The sequence below is a fragment of the Homo sapiens genome, chromosome 10 (genome assembly GCF_000001405.40).
Source record: "Homo sapiens chromosome 10, GRCh38.p14 Primary Assembly".
Classification (NCBI taxonomy): domain Eukaryota; kingdom Metazoa; phylum Chordata; class Mammalia; order Primates; family Hominidae; genus Homo; species Homo sapiens.
In genome coordinates, this window is record NC_000010.11 from 127,416,899 (window position 1) to 127,438,440 (window position 21,542).

Sequence of the window (21,542 nt, forward strand, 5' to 3'; positions counted from 1 at the left end):
GCAGGGTGCACGTGGCTGGCCACACCAGTGCATCACAATCTCCCCAAGGCTGTCCCTCCATCAGTGCAAGGACAGTGACATCAGTGGGCAGACAACCTCTGTTATGTCCACAGCCACCTAGGAGTGCCAGTCTAGGGTTGCTGACGGACAGAATCGCCCATTCGCTGTTCATCTCTGCCCTGCCCCACCCCCAGCTCCCAGGCAGTCCGCTAGAGGCTGTAGCAGGAAGAAAGCCGGACATGAAGATACCAAGGGCTCTTGGGCATGGGTGGGGGCCCATCACGCTTCCTTTGGAAGGAGCAAAGTTATTGCTGAGGTCACCCTGGGACATGGTCCCCGTGGCCCAGTGTGAGGAGGAGGTTTGGTCTGCTCAAGCAAGACCTCAGGGCAGCTGTGGTCCCTGCCTTAGACCCAGCCACGTTGCCCTGGCACCTTAGGGCTGAGCTGGAGGGCACTGGGCTGGGACTCGGCCAGGCCAGGCCCTGTGGGGCCCTCAGAGAAAGAGGGTGGAGGTCCCTGAGAGACACGCACTGGAGCCAGGAGGACAGTGGTCAGTCCCCTACCTCCTGCACTGAAGGTGTCATTAACCATGGCAAGTGTGCAAATGAAGCCTGTGAGGGTGGCCTGGAGTGCTCCAAGCAGCCTTTTCCTCCCGACCCCAGGGGCCATGAGCTCTCTTTGTTGTTGTTTGTTTGTTTTTTGGAGTCTCACTCTGTTGCCCAGCCTGAATACAGTGGCTCAATCTCGGCTCACTGCAACCCCTGCCTCCTGGGTTCAAGTAATTATCCTGCCTTAGCCTCCCGAGTAGCTGGGATTACAGGCATGCACCACCACACCTGGCTAATTTTTGTGTTTTTAGTAGAGACAAGGTTTTGCTATGTTGGCCAGGCTGGTCTTGAACTCCTGACCTCAGGTGACCCGCCCACCTCAGCCTCCCAAAGTGCTAGGATTGCAGGCAGGAGCCACCACGCCTGCCCATCACTCTTCCTTCACATGATGGTGTGTGGTGCCATGGCGGAGCCCTGCCTTGACCTCCTTTGCCCTCCCTAACCGGACAGGTAGTGCAGGCTGCCCGGGCTTAGATTCCTCAAAATTCCCGAACATCTTCTCCCTCAGCACAACAAGCAGAGAACAAGAACAGGATTGGAAGTGTCTGTTCTGAAGCAGGTGTATTCAAGCACTCAAGGCTGCGTGTTTTCCTGGGATGACCACATATGTGCATAGCCACATGCACACACACAGCCCCGCCCCCAGAGCTGAGCAGCAGCTTTGCTTTGTTCCTTTGGAATTTTCATCTCTGGGAACAAACAATAATAATAAAATGCCCAGCCACCCAAAAATTCTGTTTGGAAGAAAGGTTCACGGAGGAGCAGGAAGCCTGCCCCAGAGCACGTGGCTCCTCTGGTGAGACCCTGGGAGTGGAGGCAGCTGTGGGGCTGACATCGGGCTCTCCTCTCTCTTTGCAGGTGGAAATCAGCCCCCTGGAGAATGCCATTGAGACCATGCAGCTGACGAACGACAAGATCAACAGCATGGTGCAGCAGCACCTGGATGACCCCAGCCTGCCCATCAACCCGCTCTCCATGCTCCTGAACGGCATCGTGGACCCAGCTGTCATGGGGGGCTTCGCAAACTACGAAAAGGTACGGGACCCACCAGCTTGCTCTGGGCAAGCAGTCCTGCCCGGGGACAGACTGAAAATTCCCGAGAGTCCCCAAAGCCCAGAAACGCCCCTGGTCTCATTGAGCAATCTCAGCAGTGGCCCAGCCAAGGCCAGGCAGCAGCAGCCAGTGGCGGCCCCTGAAGCCTGCAGCAAGGTCAAGGCCGGAGTCCCGGCAAGGCTCCCCTGGGCATCCCCAGACAGCCAGGAAGCCCCCACTGACCCACCCAGGCTGGGCTTATCTGCACCCAGGCCTCCAGTGGCTTTTACAAGGTCTGGGATCTTACAGGCCAAAAGATAAAGTTAGACAAAAACACCAGAATATCAGGACTAGGGAGGTAGCGCTTTGACGGTGGAGGGGGCCCGGCCAGCTGGTCTCCCTGGATCCTAGCTCTGTAGGAATGGGCAGAAGTTGAAGGACACAGGGTGTATCCTAGACCACCCCTGCCTGTGTTTGTAACTGCAGTTCTTTTGGAAGAAGGCCACGCCTGTGCACTTACTTACGCCTGAGGCTGTTTTCCTGATACTGTAACTGGCGAGTTGAGTAGTGGCAGCATTGAGTAGTTGTGATAGAGACCTGTATGGTCCACAACACCTAAAATGTTTACCATCTGGCCTTTCACAAAAAAAGCTTGTTGACCCCTGATCTAGACAGAGCAAAAACTGAGACAAAAAGGATACTGCCTGAGAGAAGGCTGCGAGGAGATGATTACCCACCCTTGCACAAAGAAGTTTGTTGCCTTCAGGTGTAGGTCAGGCCTGGGCAGGTGCAGGGGCTAGGCAGGAGGCATGGGCGTGTGAGTAGCTGGGAGGGCTGTATTCACTGCCACCCAGCAGGACCAAGCCACCAGGTCAGCTGTGGCCTTCCTGGACCCCAAGAACTGGGGTTGCTGCTGTAGACAGCCCTGTTAGCTCCACTTACAGTGTTTGACCTTGTGGGACATTTTGTCCTGGGTGCTGCGAAGGGTGTGACCCTGAGTCTGCAGTGAGCTTCGTGTGGATCTGTTTTATGCACAGCTCTATTCTCAGGGCCTGGCACACAGTAAGTGTGCAAAAACCTGTGTTTGCTGAGCAGGTGCACTGAGCAACTCTCCTTGTCTCCACCAGGCCTTCTTTACAGACCGGTACCTGCAGGAGCACCCTGAGGCCCATGAAAAGATCGAGAAGCTCAAGGACCTGATTGCTTGGCAGGTAAAGTGTCCAGCAAGAGTCCTGCATGGCTGGAGGGAAGGAAAGCTAGGAGGGTCTAGGCTCAGCACACACACCAGCCAGCATGGAGGTCCCTGGGCTGCAGTCCTGATGCACGTGGCTGTGATTGTCCCTGGGTGAACCCACCCACTGCTGTCGTGATCAACTCAGCTCCTGGGCTGCAGTCAGGAATTTGAACACCCAGAAAATTATCTCTTGCAAATGAACAAGGTCTCTTTCCTCCCCTTGGTCAATTCTGCCGGCTGCTGGAAAACTTTTTCTCTGTCTGTATTGATAGAACATTGAGGTGAGCTCAGAGCCATGAAGCCTTGAGCTCTAGCCTGTGCCAGGAAAGGCGCTCGGGCCAGTGCAGTCCCTGTGAAACGCATGTACGTCAGAAGCTGCAGTGCACCCTCTCCCTGTTCTCCGTGCACCTCTGGCGGTGGTGTGCGTCCTCATCTGTGTTTTCCCAGCTGAAGTTGTGCAAGTTATTTCACTGTTCTACTTATGCTCCTGGGGCCTCGGGAGCCTTTCCCAGAGGGCCAGCATCTTGAAAGGGCAGACCCTGGGTGCCTTGGGTTTAAGTGTCAGAACCGGACGGATGCATCTGTGCTTCTCAGAGCCTTCCTGAGCCTGGAAGTGTAGGGGTCAAGAGCCAGTCCTCACAAGAGCTTGGCCGGCACCAGCCTGCTCTGCTGCTTTAGGCCACTGCCTCTTTAGGCTTCCTTTTCACATGTGGGAGGCAAGGAGGGTGCTGTCCCCGAGATCTTGCCACACTGTGTAAAGAGAGTTGAGGGAGGTGGGGGCAAAGGCCTGCATGGGTTTGGACCAGGTGTCGTAGCCCAGGCCACTTTGCTAAGCTGGGGTCCCAGGCTCCCAGTCAAGGCCCAGAGATGCTGTGCAGTTGATCTGCACCCAGTCCAGAACAGGGCAAGATACAAAATTAGCTGGGCGTGGTGGTGCACGCCTATAATCCCAGCTACTCAGGAGGCTGAGGCAGGAGAATCGCTTGAACCCGGGAGGCGGAGGTTGCAGTGAGCTGAGATCACGCCACTGCACTCCAGCCTGGGTAACGAGCAAAACTGTCTAAAAAACAAAAAAAAAAGGAACAGGGCAAGGCTGTTCCTCTTATGAGACATCACCGTGAGCAGTTTATTTGTTTGTTTGTTTGTTTGTTTGTTTGTTTTGGAGGTGAAGTCTCGCTCTGTTGCCCAGACTGGAGTGCAGTAGCGTGACCTCAGCTTACTGCAACCTCCTCCTCCGGGGTTCAAGTGATTCTCCTGCCTTAGCCTTCCAAGTAGCTGGGACTGCAAGTGTGCACCACCATGCCCGGCTAATTTTTTTGTACTTGTAATGGAGATGGGGTTTTGCCATGTTGGCCAGGCTGGTCTTGAACTCCTGACCTCAGGTGATCCGCCCACCTTGGCCTAAGTGCTGGGATTACAGGCATGAGCCACTGCACCAGGCCACTGTGAGCATTTTTATTCTGACATCCCAGCAGGGCCTCTTCTTAGTGGCCTCTCTGTCATCAGCACATTGGCCAATGAGACGTCTTAGAGTGGAGCAAGGCTGAGCTTTGGTTGTGAGCCAAGGTACGAGTCCTCTTAAATTTGTGTTTAGATATATAGGATGGGTTGGATTTTTATAATTCTAAGTGCTTATACTGATATGTAAACATAATATACATTATGTATATATTATAAATAATTGTGATAAAATATACATAACATAAAATTTCCCATCTTAAACATTTTTAAGTGTCCAGTTCAGAGGCAATAAGTACATTCACACTGTTGTACAACCAGCACCGCCACCATCCATCTCCAGAGCCTTGTCATCTTGCAAATCTCCAACTCTCTACCCATTGAACGACTTCCCCATTCCTCCCTCCACCCACCTCCTGGTCACCACCATTCTACTTTGTGTCTCTATGAATTTGCCTACTCTAGATAGCTTATATGAGTGGAATCATGTAATACTTGTCCTTCTGTGTCTGGCTTGTTTCTCTTAGCAGAATGTCTTCCAGATTCATCCATGTTGTAGTGTGTGTCAGAACTTCATTCCTTTTTAAGGCTGAGTAATACTCCATTATAGGGCTAGACCGCAATGTGTTTCTCCACGGATCTGTCAAGGAACAACATGTGGGTTGTTTCTACCTTTTGGCTGGTGTGAACAATGCTGCTGTGAATGTGGGTGTATAAATACCTGCTCAAGTCCCTGCTTTCAATACTCCCATAGTTTGGGGTATATACCCAAATTTAGAATTGCTGGCTCATGTGGTATTCTGTGTTTTCTTTTTCACGAAACTGCCAAACTCTTCTACGGTCACAGCACCATTTGACATTCCCACCAGCAGTAATGCATGATTCCAACTTCTCTGCACCCCCAACAAGACTTGTTATTTTGTTTGTCTTTTTTTTTTTTTTTTTTTTTTTTTTTGAGATGGAGTCTCGCTCTGTCACCAGCCTGGAGTGCAGTGGCGTGATCTTGGCTCACTGCAACCTCCACCTCCCGGGTTCAAGCGATTCTCCTGCCTCGGCCTCCCGAGTAGCTGGGACTACAGATGTGTGCCACCACACCTGGCTAATTTTTGTATTTTTGGTAGAGATGGGGTTTCACCATGTTGGCCAGGATGGTCTCGATTTCTTGACCTCGTGATCCGCCCACCTCAGCCTCCCAAAGTGCTGGGATTACAGGTGTGAGCCACCGTGCCTGGCCTGTTTATCTTTTAAGTAATAGCCATTTTAATGAGTGAGAAGTTTTATTTATATGTATATATAAACAAAAATTATATTAAAAGGGAAGAAATCAGACTTTGTCACAAATCTGCATTTGAAATCTGTTTGCTTTGGAATTATGGTTTTGAACGTCCTCAGAGTTTGACTGAAAGGGACATTGTTGGCCAACTTTGGCTTCTTTGTATGGATTGTAAGCCTCATGTAGACAGTCTCCCTCTGTAACTAAAAAAGTGGGAGAGAGTTTAAAATTGTGAATGATTCCATTTTAGATGTTGTAGATTTTTTACTAAAGGGTACGAAATTCAAAATTCCTCTGCAGGCTATAAAACTATTGCTATACAAAAACTAGTTTGGTCTGCAAAAGTTCTATTGATTTTTTTTTTCCTATAAGCTTTTACAGCAAATTGGATTTTAAGAGTTTCAAGTCCTACAGAGGAAAATAATTTGTTCCCCAGAGAGCAGCTTTATGTCAGCACTATGTCATCATTCCTAATAACTATATTAAAGGATGAATTTTAAAGCAGGTCACAGGAAAGGTAAAAGAATCAGTTTTCTAGTAACTTCATTAAATCAAAGAGTGATGAAAAATGCATATTCCAAACATTACCTGTGATTTTGCTTTCATTTGCAAATGTTTGGAAAACCCGTATCTTGGTATTGGCAACTGAGTCATATGTTCATTAAAAATAAGAAGTTTGAATTTATCAGAATGCTTTGTTCTCTTTTTGTTTATTAGTTCATCTGGTTTGGTTTTTTCCTGAAACTATCAGGGCAGAGTGAGGTTTTTCTCCTGGGAGTCCCAGGACTCATGTGCAGAGTTTTCATCACCGATATATAATAAGCTCAGCTCTGATGCATAAAATGGTTTGTGAAGGTTGGTTAATAAGTCCCAGGCAGCTCCTCCTCAGCCCTGCTTGCTGCCTCAGAAACAGAGGATGGGCTGACCTGCTCCTCGCTGGGTGGGAGGTGGCAGTCAGGGTGCACACTGTGTGGTGCCTCTTGTAGGTTTGCGGCTGGCACCAGGTCATGAGTCACTTTCTCAAAGGCACAATTCCATCTTTCTCCATACACAGCTGTCATTGTGGAGCATCCCTGCCGAGTATCCAAAGACAAATCCATACAGTCTCATATTAAACTGCTGTGATGTATACATATTTCTCTTTTGAAATGTACGAAGATGAAAGGCTGAACTCAGCCATCATCCCCAGCTGATGACAAGCATGACTGTTGTGTCCAGGGGTGGTGCTCCTGGAGCATTAAGCAAGGCTTCCAGATGTTCTGTGCTGCTTTCAGGGCATGAATCTGTGCAGGGGACAGACAGGAGCAAACTTCAAATACGGCCCATCAGGAGGGCGTCTTTGTAGAGCAGGCTGCAGGCTCGCTTTGATTAATTAGAGGTGTGACTTAGGGAAAGTCCTCTCCCATCTCTGGGCTCTGAGAAACTCTTTAGGAATGCAGATTCCTGGGATCTGCCTACAGCAAATCAGGGCTCTGGAGGTGGGGTTCAGGAATCCACCTGAGATTCTGATGCTTAGCCAGAGTGGAACCCACTCAACTACAGGGTCTCCAGAGACCATTTCAGACCCTCGGTCTATGTTAAGTGCTTTTTGTGCATTGGAATGTGTTTACTCAGGGCATCCTCTTATCTTCTTTCATTTAGAATCACACCTGCAGTTCAGCCCCAAGTAGACATATAACAGGGAACCAGTTCCTGTCCTATCAGAAGGTTATTTCCCATCAACGTCAGGAACTGCTGAGAGTGGTGAATTCTCACACCTGGTAAATTTCACCTATCAGATTGCAGTTCGAGCAGCACAAGCGTCCTAAACCAAAAGGTCTTAACTCTCATCTGACAAGTACCTTCTTTGACAGAAAGAATCTGACCATTAAGAGTTTTATCACACCACCATCAACACCAACAACAGCAAAACTCAGGAACTAGATTACATTTTGTAGTTTGAGAAAGGCCCGCCCTAAATCAGAAATGCTTTTAGTATCTAGGGTGGCTGTGCTTTCACCTTGCAACAGCACCTCCACACATCCCTGCCTTTGCATCCAGAGAGAGACCCAACACATTCGACATCCCACCAAAAGTTGTCCCGGTCTGTCTGCGTCATCCCCCAAGGCGGAACTCAGGAGGCAGAAGGCTGACAGTGAGCATTTTCTACTGCTGGCCCTGAGTAAACCGCGGCTAGCCCCGGGGAAGCTGCCATCTGCACGAGTAATTCATAGGGAATATTAAAACATCCCAAGTATTTTGAAATCTCTCTGTATGCTGTCCTTTCGGTGATAACTGGCCAGAAAGGCCTGACATGTGCCTAGGGTTTGGGGCCAACTGTCAGCAAAACAAACTTTTGTGTCGGTGCAGCCTCCAAGCAGGCTAGGAGGGCTATGAGCGAGGAGAGCGCTGCTACTCCCTCCTTTCCTGGAGCACCAAGAGAGGCAACAGCTGTGTGCTATAAATGGTAACCAAATACATTTGATGCGTTGATTCATCTTGATAAGATTTCTTGAATTTGCTCACATGAAATTCAATTGTGTACTTATTATCGTTCATACTAATAAATCTGCTCATTTAGATTGGTGTTCTGTCCTATTAGGAAAATCTGTTTTTAATCAGTATTTTGATTTAATTATAAATTATTGAGAGGAAGCCTCTTAGCTTGATTACATGGAAGAATGTCTAACTGAGTCCAAGCCCTGGGGGGAAGCAGAGACCAGGGACAGAAAGGGAGACTTTTCCTTCTCCCACCCCACAACAGCAGCAACTCTGGTGGGTCTCTGCAGCTGGGAGAATGAAAATGTCTCTCTTAGAACGTTTTTAAAGGTCAGCTTCATCTCCACTCTCGGAAGTGAAGTGTTGGCATGGATATTTTGTGACAGCAGTGTCGCAGAGAAGCGATTATTTTTAGTTTTAAAGAAGAATAAATTTGGTTTTCACTTCCAAAAAAGGAAGATTTTTCAGGACTATAGATCACATGTAATTACCTTTTGGAATAGGGTTCTCGTAAAGGCAATATTCTTAGCTAAAAAATGTTCGCACTCTGACATGACCCTTTGCTAATAGAACAAGTTACATCTAAACAAATTCAAGGTGTAGCTCTTCCCAAACTCAAGTGAAAAGCACAGATAAGTCTATTCTGGGAAATTAACTGAGTAGCCGTGGTGTAGGGCGCACCACACTGGACATAGTCAATTCAGAACACAAATGGTTTTCATGTAAACATTTTGGTCTTTGGTGGTAATATGCCTGCTGGTAAATTGAATCAGCTGGTTTGATTTGGAAACCAAAGCAGATCGTTTTGCCAGTTCCCCTTTCCCCAAGTGTGCATTGCTCGTCCTAGACCATTATCCAAGAAATAAGGAATGTCAACCTCTCTGTTTTCCAGATTCCTTTTCTGGCCGAAGGGATCAGAATCCATGGAGACAAAGTCACGGAGGCACTGAGGCCGTTCCACGAGAGGATGGAGGCCTGTTTCAAACAGCTGAAGGAAAAGGTGGAGAAAGAGTACGGCGTCCGAATCATGGTAAGAGGGTAGTATGCGTAGTGTTGCAGAAGAGTGGGTGTCTGGGCATCCCACTGTTGAACAGGGACAAGCTTCCAGAGCAGAGGAACTCACATGTACACATGGTGCCCGCTTAGGAAGTGGGATGTGAGGGAGCTCAGCCCCCTTGGGCAGTCTTGTCTACCGGCAACTCAGCAACCTCCTTTCAATAACTGGAAATGTCAGGGCGAATAAACATTCATGAATTTCCTTGATTACCAAATGCCCCCTCACCTGCTGTGAACACAGTCCAACCTTATTGTTGCAGAGCAATGGAGAAATCTCACAGCGCCCAGGCAACTCAGCTGGTTGACAGTGCACACCTACAGTCATACAATACACACAGAGGGTTCGGTCATCCACAGGGCAACAGCACTCACGACGGCCCATGGCAGAGGTAGCCCAGCCCAAGGTTGACATCAGAGGATCATGGCCATCGAGGAAGAAGTGACCAACATCTGGAGTGTGAAATTATTAGTGAAGATTTACCTATTGTAGGAAGGGGTAATTGATCTAGACCAAGGAAGATAAGCCAGATGTGGTCAGGGGAGGAGATCAAGAAGACACTGCCTGGGGAAAGGACTCCCTCAACAGAGGCTGAGAGGCAGGAGTTTGAATGGCAGGCCAGGGGCCAGTGCAGACACAGGCATGCTTTGGGCAGAAGAGAAAATTCAGAGCGGAGATGGAAAGGCACCCAACCTCCAAGAACAAGGGATGCTAGGCTGGGGCAGGAGGCTCTGCTCGGGATGAAGGGCAGAACTGAGCTTTTGCAATGAGTTTATGGAAGGTTTCTGAGCAAAGGCTGGCATCAGGAGCAGGGTGGAGAGCAGCTTGAGTTTTAATGATGCAAAAACCTTGCAGTTCAAATCTTACAGCCCACTTGAGACTGTCCCCAGGAGCCATGCCTTAGCAGATGTGGGAGCAAAGCCAGGCACCGTGAGTCACAGTGCTGCCCTGCTTTGCAGCTCAGAGTGGTGCTCCCATCTTTACTCAGTCTCTGGGAGCTTTGCTGGGCCTACCCTGCCTGCTCGGGAACTGTGGAGACACCAGACACGGCAAAGGGTCCCCACTCCCCATTGTTCAGGGATGAGGGGCAATGTGGCACAGAGAAGCAGGGAGCTCTCTTCTGTCTACTGGAATTCCATGCCTGCCGGCACTGAGGGGGTGTGCACAGGGCTTCAACTCCCCGGCAAAAGGAAGGCGAGCTGTGGGAAGTCGCGCTGCTTCTCCCAGGTAACATACGGCACTTTCCTCTGCTCCTTGAAGACCAGGTGTCGAGTGGGGTGTGCCATTTTGGTTTTTTTCTGGGCCCAGGGCCGCCTGTCCACCAGTCCCTGAAGTTCTCAGCTATTCTCTATTGAACCCTGTTTTCTTTGACACATTGATCTCAATAAGCAAACAGTAATTTAGTGCTCCCCACGTGCCAGGGACCTTCCTAAGTGCTGTATAGATACTCAGTTGCTTAATCTGCCTCACACTCTGTGAAGCAGGCACTGCAGTCACCTGCATTTTACAGTCAAGGAAACAGGGACATGGGAAGGTAAGTAGGTCACACCCTAGCACGTGGCAGACCCATGGTTCAAGCCCTATCCATGTACCTCCAGGGTCTGTGCTTTTAGCCCCTACTCCAGGGGCTGACATTTGGCACCACAGAGCTTCTCCGCCTCTTTCCCACATGGTAGGAAATGCATATGAGACCTGGGCAACCCCTGAGAGAAGGTAATTTGGTTATGATCACACTGCATGCTCTCCCAGTCTCCCCGCCTCTGCCGGGCATGACCGAACCTTGGTGCCTCCAAGCCTAGGACCTGGTGTCCCTCAGATGAGAGGGTCCCAGGCCCAGCAGGGCTTGAACCCAACAAAGCCAACATAACACAACTGCTGCTCTGAGGTTGAAAACTCAGCAGGTGGGAGTCTGGAACTGCCAGCCCAGCGGGAGCTGCTGCAGGTGAACAGGCCTGGAAATCAGGGCTCTGTCCTTCAAGGCTGGGCTGGAGGATCCTTTGTGCAAGTCAGAATGCTAGAGTAGCGCTTGATAGCTTCAGAGCCTGCAACTCATTACAGTCAGAGCTGAGTGGCAAGAAGCGTTTCGGAGTGCGTCACATCGCATCTCTTTCAAAGTTGATGCCTGTATTAATTCATTCTAAGAAACAAACACTTGTGAAATCTTGACATTTTCTTCCTAAGTGAAAAGCTTCCTCTTTTCTCAGTCATTTAATGTATATTTCAAAATCACAGAAAGCTGTCTGGCTCACCAGACATCCTGCATATTCCCTTCTCTGCCACATTCATGAGTTCTGAGTGTGCTTGCTTTGGGCACAGGTGGAGAAAGCAAGGGCAGGAAGGTAGGGTGCTGTGGATTGGTGTGCTGTGTGGATTGGGGTGCCGTGTGAATTGGGGTGCCGTGTGAATTGGAGTGCCTTGTGGATTGGGGTGCCGTGTGGATTGGGGTGTCATGTGGATTGGGGTGTCGTGTGGATTGGGGTGCCATGTCGATTGTGCCATGTGGATTGTGGTGTTGTGTGGATTGGGGTGCCATGTGGATTGTGGTGTTGTGTGGATTGGGCTGCCATGTGGATTGTGCCATGTGGATTGGGGTGTCATGTGGATTGGAGTGCCGTGTGGATTGGGGTGCCGTGTGGATTGGGGTACCGTGTGGATTGTGGTGCTGTGTGGACTGTGTCATGTGGATTGTGGTGTCCTGTGGATTGGGGTGCTGTGTGGATTGGGGTACCGTGTGGACTGTGGTGCTGTGTGGACTGTGTCATGTGGATTGGGGTGCCGTGTGGATTGGGGTACCGTGTGGATTGTGCCGTGTGGATTGGGGTGTCGTGTGGATTGGGGTGCCATGTGGATTGGGGTACCGTGTGGATTGAGCCGTGTGGATTGGGGTACCGTGTGGATTGTGCCGTGTGGATTGGGGTGCTGTGTGGATTCGGGTACCATGTGGATTGGGGTGCCGTGTGGATTGGGATGCCGTGTGGATTGGGGTGCCGTGTGGATTGGGGTGTCATGTGGATTGGGGTGCTGTGTGGATTGGGGTACCATGTGGATTGGGGTGCCGTGTGGATTGGGATGCTGTGTGTCCTTGGTTGGAGCTTATTTCCAGCACATTGTGAGGCAGCACCGTCTCCATCAACCTCCCCACCCTTCTCTGTAGCACCAGCTGGGTCACCCCGTCTAGGGGGTGGGAGGCTTTTACAGAATGAAGGTTGCATTTTCCACCCTGAGATACTTTGTTCCCCGGACCCACCTTGCAGAGTCCTGCTCCATCCTTTGACCGCAACAGCAGGCTCTGCAAGCATCCTTTGAGAGTCAAGGGGACTGGCAGGTCCCCTTGTCCTTCCCTGAGAAATGTGGCAATAAAACGCAGTCTGGGATGTGCCTTTCCTGTCTTACCTACTTTGGAAACTTGCAATCATCTCAGAGCACTTTGAAAAGCAATCTAGTATCACCCTGTTTGCAAAAAAGATGGATTTTAAAATTTAAAAATAAACCCATAGAAAGGACATAAACCATTTTGTCAGTGTTTCTGAGCCAGCTTAAGCCATAGAAAGAGAAGATGTGGACGCCCTCTGACTTCTCGATACCCAGGCCCCTCTGCCACTCTGCCTTGGCTTTCATCGTGTTCCCAGTCCTGGGGCTCCAAGGAGCTGCCATTCCCTGGATGGGAGCTCTGCAGCCCAGCTTCTCCTGACCTTTAGGGAGCGAGGTGTGCAGGGCCCCAGGGATGAGCCCGTGAGCACCTGCCACGTTCGGCATTGGCCCCCGTGCCCTCACCGGCCCACAGCGCCACGTTCGGCATTGGCCCCCGTGCCCTCACCAGCCCACAGCGTGCAGGAGGCATGTGTGTTGGCCTTCAGGCTTGTGAAAAAGAGCTTTAGGTTTCTCACCAAAACTTCATCTACCTCTTCAAGTCCGATTAGGAGCAGGGAAATTGATCCTGGTTCTGCATTCTCTCTACTCCCATCCACCTCATCACTCCAAACACCATGGAGAGCCATAACCCCAAGATGCCATCGTCCCCCTCTCCCCTCCCCACCTACAGTCACAACACCCGCTGGCCACCCAGACCCGGGAGAGAACCAGGAGTCACCCTTCCTCCCTCAAGTTAGTTCTAGCTGTGGTATCCCCTGGTGGTGCTGGGGTTCACCCCACCATCTTTGCCATCACAGTTGGCCCCTGACCTGGCCCCCAGCTTCCAGGATTTCTCCTCTCTCGCCCTCCCTCCACAGCTGCCGGGGGGACCCATCCCAGTAGTTCTCTTAACTGGGATCCATGAGACCCTGGGGTTCCTCAGAGGCTGTTGGGAGGGGTGTTGACTGGGAGGTGGAGCTGATAGCCCCTGCCTCAGCAGGAACATTTAGCTTCACCTATTCCTTGTGCTGGAGTTCCATGGTGAGGAGAAGCAGTGTGGCATGGCCTACAAGAACAGCCAGGGACCAGGGTTCTGTTTCAGATGCAGAGCTGATGGTGCAGTTGTGTCCTTCAGTCTTGTGGCCTCTGAGGGCCGGCCAAGGTTCTAACATCACACTCGCACCCTCCCTGCTGGGCCTGCCCATCTTCTGCCCCACCCCCCAGCCCCTCCTCCCCCACCTGCTCTCTCCAAAGGAAAATGTGTCACCCTCTGTGGATTTCCAGGCTGTAGCTGGCATTTGTATAGCATCTGGAAAGGGACATTCCAGATCACGATGAAGTGTGCCTGCTTCTTACCCTTCCTTGTACAGCACTGGTCCCTGTGATTAAGTTCAGCCAACCCCTTCAACCCAGCCCATTCCCATCCAAGACTCTGGGCAGTAAACACCTGTGGCTGGCTCAAGGTGGGACGTTACAGCTCAGCCGGGAGACAGCGACGTAAAACTCAGGGTCATTAGGCAGGGCCAGAGGATCGCTCCTGGTCAGAAAACTGGAATGAGTGTTTGCTCAGGCGGTGAAGACAGCAGCAGCCATCAGGGTAAGGAGCCCTGTGGGCTTCCCCGGCATCATTTCATTTAGTTCTAATGCTGGCCCTCTGGGCAGGGAAGACTGCTCCCTGTGTGCTCAGGAGGAAGCTGGGGCTCCGAGTGGCTCGGGGTTTTATGGAGGGTCACACCATCAGTGCCAGGGCCACAATTCCAGCCTAGTTCCAATGTCCCCAACTCCTACCCACCAGCCCTACTTTCAGTCACAGTGTCTGGCCGTGGAGTCCCACCTCCCAGGACTGGTTGAGACCCTAATTGCATCAGATGAAACAAAAGTAAAGCCCTGATGTCTTGATTTCTAGAGGCTCAATCAAGAAGGAATTATGCGGCAGACCGCCCAGTAAACCCATGGTCGCACCCAGGGAGTGCCCTCTGTCTCTCCTTGACGGGAGTCATCCTCCTGCCAACCCCCTTCCTTTATTCCTTGAAATCCATACTCACACATCTCAACCAAGACCTGAGGTCACCTTCTGAGATTATGTATGGGGTAAGGTTTTCACAGTTGGGGATAATCCCCAAGCAACCATTTCCCTTTTAGTTTCTTCTAAAGGCAGAGTAATTACAGTGAACATCTCCATGAAGCTATCCCCTGGCACCATCATTGGTGCAGGTCCAAGACTGACCAACCCCTCTCTGCTGGCAAATCCCAGCTGCACGTCACTCAGAGCCAGTGGTCAGCAAACTGTGGCCCCTGGCGTGGTTGTGTAAATAAAGTTTTGTTGACAGGCAGGCCATGCTCATTCATTTCTGTATTATCTGTGGCTGCTTTTGTGCTGTCGTGGCAGCGCGTGCTAGTTTCCACAGAGACCATATGTCCTGCAAGCCTAAAATACTTACCTGGTCCTTTGCAGCAGAGGTCCCAGCCCTCAGGCAGTGGACTGGTATCAGTCTGTGGCCCGTTAGGAACTGGGCCCACAGCTGGAGGTGAGCGGCGGGTGAGGGAGCATTACTGTCTGAGCTCTGCCTCCTATCAGATCAGTGGCAGCATTAGATTCTCATGGGAGCATGAACTCGATTGTAAACTGTGCATGTGAGGGATCTGGGTTGTGCACTCCTTATGAGAATCTAATGCCTGATGATCTGAGGTGCAACAGTTTCATCCTGAAACCATCTCCTGCTGGTCTGTGGAAAAATTGTATTCCACGATACCGGTTCCTGGTGCCAAAAAGGTTGGGGACAACTGCTTTACAGAAAATGTGGGCCAATTCCTGCCCTTTTACAATTTTGAGCTTCTTATTATGAAAGAGATAGTTTACACATCAAATGCTGTTTTATTTGGGATCACATATTTAAGAAAAAGGCCCACTTTTCAGAAGGGGAAGTGGCGTTATATTAATCTTACCTGTAATCTACCGCTTCTGGCCTTGGAGGGCTGGAACCATGGTCCACAGCAGGTCTTCTGTAGTTGATTGGCTGAATGAGATGGGCGGGGTGGGGTTGCAGGGTGGGGAAGTCAACGCCACACAGAGAGGAGGTGCCCTACAGGAACTTAGTTTCCACATCCTCAGGTTAAAGGAAGGTCCTTGTGCAGCAGCTGCAGTCCCAGATGTGCCAACATCTGGCTCGGGGTGCAGGTACCCTGGAATTTTCTAGCTAATGAGATGTGGACACATGCTGTATTTCAAGGACACTTGCTTCTGTAATATGTCAAGAAGAAGATGGAAAAGTCCATCTAGAGATCTTTTTTTTGTTTGTTTTTGGCACAATGCATCACTAGTTCACTACCTAGCAAGTGGGAGAAGCTTTAGCAACTTCAGCAGCGGTTTCACCTACTCAGTGGCTTCAGTCACTTGCAGAAAGGAAACGTACTCTTCATTAAGCAGCAGGAGCATGTTATTTTTGTCTAGAGGAGGTCAGTCATTATGGATTCATGCATTTTGATGGCCCGTGTAGTCTGTCAACCTGCAGAGATACACAAAATGCATCTAAAGATCGAAAGACTCTTTAATCACTCTCTAGGTGTTACTCTACATTAAACTTTCTGGTCGGCACATTCTCCTGTGGCTTTGGAATGTGTTGACGCATCGCGGTCTTTGAAGAAAACTTGCACTGTGTATTAAAAGGCTAAGAAGGTTCCTTCTGATACTTTCACAGTATTGGGTTAGGTTTTAAAAGACTCAAAAATAATCATTGTTTTTGTCTTCCACTCAGAACAAGAACATGTACTGTTTACAGAAGTCTGAACGATGATGGTCTCGATTCCACACAGCTAAGGCCACTTTATCTCAGGAGTCTGACCATGGCAGGCACAGGCATCAAACAAGTCTCCTTCTCTCTCTTTCTCGCTCTCAGCCCTCAAGTCTGGATGATAGAAGAGGCAGCCGCCCCCGGTCCATGGTGCGGTCCTTCACGATGCCTTCCTCATCCCGCCCTCTGTCTGTGGCCTCTGTCTCTTCCCTCTCATCGGACAGCACCCCTTCCAGACCAGGCTCCGACGGGTGAGTCAAGCTCACAGCAGGGCTGAGCTGAGCAGTGAGGGCTTGGGGGATCTGGAAGGAGCCACCCAGGGCTCTGGGTTTATTTTCTTACAACTGAGGATTTTGTGTTCATCAAAATTATCTTTGAAACTGAGACCCTCCGAGACTTTCTGACCGTAGTGCCCAATATTACTTTGAGGTCGTGTGAGTTGTTGAGAAAAACATCCTCTCTTTGGGTACCACTTTGGGTGAGGTTTTCATCCAATTTAGAACCTCCAGTGAGTGTTCAGTCCTCTTCAGCATGGCTTAGAACAAGCTTGTCCACCCGCGGCCCACGGGCCACATGCAGCCCAGGATGGCTTTGAATGTGGCCCAACACCAATCCATAAACTCCTTAAAACAGTATGAGATTGTTTTTGTGATTTCTTCTTTTTTTTTTTTTAATAGCTCATCAGCTATTGTTAGTGTTAGTGTATTTCATGTGTGGCCCAAGACAATTCTTCTTCTTCTAATGTGGCTCAGGGAAGCCAAAAGATTGGGCACCCCTGGGAAAAAGCAAGGTGCAGTCCGGGCTGGCCAAGCACTTTGTACTTTTCATCTCCTGTTCACCTCCAGGGTGTTGTGCCCGGACAGGAGCTGGTGTGGTCTGACCATGACACAACCTCCACTGTCCCCCTGTGACACCATTCTGCCAAGCCAACTGTCACAGAGTCAGGCTTTCATGATGGATGGCCGGGCCTTCTTTTTTTTTTTTCTTTTCCTCCCTTCCTCATTTTTTTGGAGAGCAAATGTTTTGTTTATTTTTGTTTCTGCTGAGGTTTATTGCCTTTTAAAGGGAAATGGTGTTTAAGTGAATGCTTCTGAGAATGACCATCTGTCCCTACTTTTTAGGACAACTCTGGAAAATAAAAGGCATATTATCCTTTTTAAAAAATTTTGTTTTTGAGGCAGACTCTCACTCTGCCACCCAGGCTGGAATGCAGTGGTGTGATCACAGCTCACTGCAGCCTCCACTTCCCAAGCTCAAGCGATCATAACCATTTGTAAGTGAACAGTTCGGTGGCATTGCGTACGTTCACATCGCTGTGCAGCCATGACCACCATCCACCTCCAGAACTCTTTAATATTGCCAAACTGAAACTCTGTACCCATTTAACAACAATTCCCCACTCTTTACCTCCCATATTGATTAAACACTAACTTTGCATTCTTTCCCCCCACCCCTGACACCCTGACAATGTCTACTTTCTTTTTTTTTTTTTTTGAGACGGAGTCTCCCTCTGTCGCCCAGGCTGAGTGCAGTGGCACGATCTCGGCTCACTGCAACCTCCGCCTCCCAGGTTCAAACAATTCTTTTGCCTCAGCCTCCCAAGTAGCTGGGCCTACAGGCACATGCCACCATGCCTGGCCAATTCTTTGTATATTTAGTAGAGACGGGGTTTCACCATATTAGCCAGGATGGTCTCGATCTCCTGACCTCATGATCCGCCCGCCTCGGCCTCCCAAAATGCTGGGATTACAGGTGTGAGCCACCGCGCCTGGCCAACGTCCACTTTCTATCACTATGATTTTGACTATTCTAAATACTCATGGGCCACCTTCTTTGTACAAGGCCACTTTGGAGATGCATTTTTGCTCTTGAGTACCCAATAGTTAACATTTATTGAGCACACACTGTGGCTCTGGCATTAGCTCAGGTTATTGCAAAGAGAACTGCAACATTGGTATTTTTTTGTATTTTTGAGCGGCAAGCATGTAAAGTTTGTTCTTCTACAAAAAGAAAAAAATGTTGCATGCAATTTAAACAACACAGAAGAACCTCTAATTGTTTTACTGCTGATTTGTACAGTTGTTTGTGTGTCCAATCCCATTTTGTTTACAATCCATCACCCTATCAAACCCACAGGCATCTGGCCCCCTCAACACACAGAAACAAACTTCCAGAGAGCCCCAAGGGACGGCTCAACTCGGATTGCCCTTTGTTGCCAACGACTGATGTGCCCGATGGAGAATTGCAAACTATCCCCATATTTTTTCTTAACAGTAATTTTTATCAGCGTCTGATATTTATAAGGCCAAGTCCATATGGAAATTCTCAATTTAGAGGTATTTAAATCATGTGTGCTTGTCACTTACAGCAAGATTGCTAAAGAAATTTAATTCAACTTCTCCCCGAGAAAATCCCCGGACTGGTTATGGAAAGGTTTTTATATTTCTAGGAACATAGGGGTTAGGGTGGAAATTAATGGAGAGGTTTTAGACAGAAGAGTGGTGAATTGCACATGTGAGCTCAGGCTGCTGGCTCTTCCCCAGAAGGCATTTGTTTAACCTTTAACTGGAAGGCGTCTTTATTACAGTCCAGATTTGTGTTCATTCTTGGGGTTACCACCCTTTGCTAGCTAACTAATGTGGAGAAAATGAGGCTTTGGTCTCAAATGGCACAGGTTACATGCAGAATAAAGTTCATCCTGTAGGCAGTTGCTTCTCGTAATATGAAAATTTAAAACTCCACCTGCCTTTCTCTGGGTTCTTTGTATACGCATCAGGATTTCACAACCCGGGTCTTCTCCCTGAGCTAAACAGCATCTACTAATCCTTTTCTTACCTACATTATCTCAAGTTCTGCTAAACCTAGAATAAAATCATGAAATGTTTGGTTGTTGCTTATAATAGATAAAATATTTCTCACCTAATGGATATGGATGTATTGTATATCCAGTGTGAAAAGTCCAGATGTCCCAAAATGCCTTAATGATCTAAGTCAATATTGGTATATTTTATCAATCAGTTTAAATTTTTTAAGCATTTTAGTATAGAAAAATGTCAAAGCTGAGTACAGTGGCTCATGCCTAAAATCCCAGCACTTTGGGAGGCTGAGGCAGGTGGATTGCTTGAGCTCTGGAGTTCAAGACCAGCCTAGGCAACATAACAAAACCCCATCTCTACAAAAAAATATAAAAATTAGCTGGGTGTGGTGGTGCATGCCTGTAGTCTCAGCTACCTGGGAGGCTGAGGTGGGAGGATCACCTGAACCTGGAGAGGTTGTGGCTGTAGTGAGCCATGATTGAACCACTGCACTCCAGCCTGGGCAACAGAGTGAGACTCTGTTTCAGAAAAAAAGAAACATTTCAGATATGTACAAAGTGGGCCAAACAGTGTAATGAGGCCCCCATGCCCCATCATGCAGTCTTGACAATTATCAGCTTTTAACTAATCTTTTTTTTTCAATCTGTATCAATCATATTTTCCAGCAAATCTCAAATATCATATTTTATCTATAGCTATTTCACTATGAATTTCTAATTTAAACTCTTTTTTAAAACCATAACTCGGTTATATTATATAAACTATAGTAATATAGTTTATTTCACACCAAAAATATTGACAGGAATTCCATATTATAATAATACATGAGTGTTAATTTCCCATTGTCATGTCTTTTTTTTTAGTTTGAGGCAAAATCCAAATAAGGTTCCCACCTTGTACCTTGCACTTGGTTGATATTATCTCTTTAAGTCTCTTTTAGTCCCCTTTTCTCCCTTGTAATTTATTTGTGGGAAATCCTAGGTTGTGTATCCTGTCATGGTCCCCACCATCAGGACTCTGCTGATAGCGTGCCCTATCGCATTGTTTAATTCGCGTCTCGATTCTCCATATTCCCTGCATATTGGTGGTTGAATCTAGCGATTTGATCAGATTCAGATTTGATTTAGGGACAAGATGACTTCATAGGTACTTGTGTGTTCTTCCATTCAGAGGCACATCATAACCTGTTCTCTCTCTTATGGAGATGTTAACAGCTATTGATAATCAGTGCTTAGATTCAATACCATTATTGTTTACATAGTGACCTGCAGCAGATCCTACTGCACAGCCATATTAGATGAGAGAAGCAAAGAATAGGTGGTGGTCCTTGCTCTGGGTAGTCTGCATCTTCAGCAGATTTAAGCGCAGTTTTGCAAATGATCCTTCCCTTCCTGGTTCATCTTACTCCCCATTATGGGACACACAACATGGAAATAATCAACAGTGAGCAAATCAATGGGGAGCAAGATTGCTGCAATGACCATCTTTTTTTTTTTTTTTTTTTTTGAGACAGGATCTGGCTCTGTCACCCAGGCTGTGCAATGGCACAGTCTTGGCTCACTGCAATTTCTACCTCCCAGGCTCAAGCCATCCTGCCACCTCAGCCTCCTGAGTAGCTGGGACTATAGGTGCACACCACCATGCCCAGCTAATTTTTGTACGTTTTATCGAGACTGGATCTTGCCATGTTGGCCAGGCTGGTCTCGAACTCCTGAGCTCAAATGATCCACCTGCCTTAGCCTCCCCAAGTGCTAGGATTATAGGCATGAGCCACCATGCCCGGCCCTGCAATGGCCTTCTTAATGAGAACAGTGGCTTTCTTCCAAGTGTCCCATTCAGAAATACATGTAAAAGAAACTAGAGCTAGGATGAAAATATGACTGGCTGGCTAAATTATCTTCTCTTGAAATCATGCTCCCCTTGAAGAAGCCAATTGCTTCTCCAGGCGGTCAAGGAAGTCAGGTTTGGAAGTTGCTGTGAGGCTCAGAGCTCCAAAGAGCAGGCTGTATTTTGAAAATGTAAGATCCTAGTAACAGCACTGCCTTCCACGTGAGTTATGCTATATGGTTTTTCAGGCGGGCCCATGCCTTCATCCATTCAACCATCTCTCCTGACTCCTCCTCACAGCAGGAGCTGCTAGGGATGAGACTCCAGTCTTAGAGTTGGATCCATTTCTTCCACCTCCTGATAGGACTTCTAGGACCAGAAACAGGATGGACATGCCAATCTTGTGTTGGAGTGACAAATCACAATCATGTGTGGATATGCTTGCACACTAACCTTTTGGTACATGCCTTAGACACTAGCCTAAGATTCATTTACTCCATGGTATAACCACGAATGTGTCTTTACAGCAACTGTGGGGTAGGCAGAAGGGTGGTGGTGTCTTTATACCCTTTTATAAGTGAGACAGCTGCCAGAGGTTACGAGGACATCAAGAGTCACCC

The 21,542-nt window shown here is 48.6% G+C and overlaps 1 protein-coding gene across 16 annotated transcripts in view; it reads left to right on the forward strand.

Annotated features, from left to right (window-relative positions):
- Positions 1-21,542, forward strand: part of DOCK1 (dedicator of cytokinesis 1) — a 547,089-nt gene that overhangs the window by 511,471 nt on the left and 14,076 nt on the right. For all 16 annotated transcript variants that reach the window (NM_001377544.1, NM_001290223.2, NM_001377546.1 and 13 more), the window contains 4 exons: positions 1,467-1,643; positions 2,768-2,851; positions 8,976-9,113; positions 16,385-16,530. In NM_001377544.1, coding sequence (NP_001364473.1) covers positions 1,467-1,643; positions 2,768-2,851; positions 8,976-9,113; positions 16,385-16,530 — 545 coding nt within the window. The remainder of the gene's footprint in view (positions 1-1,466; positions 1,644-2,767; positions 2,852-8,975; positions 9,114-16,384; positions 16,531-21,542) is intronic.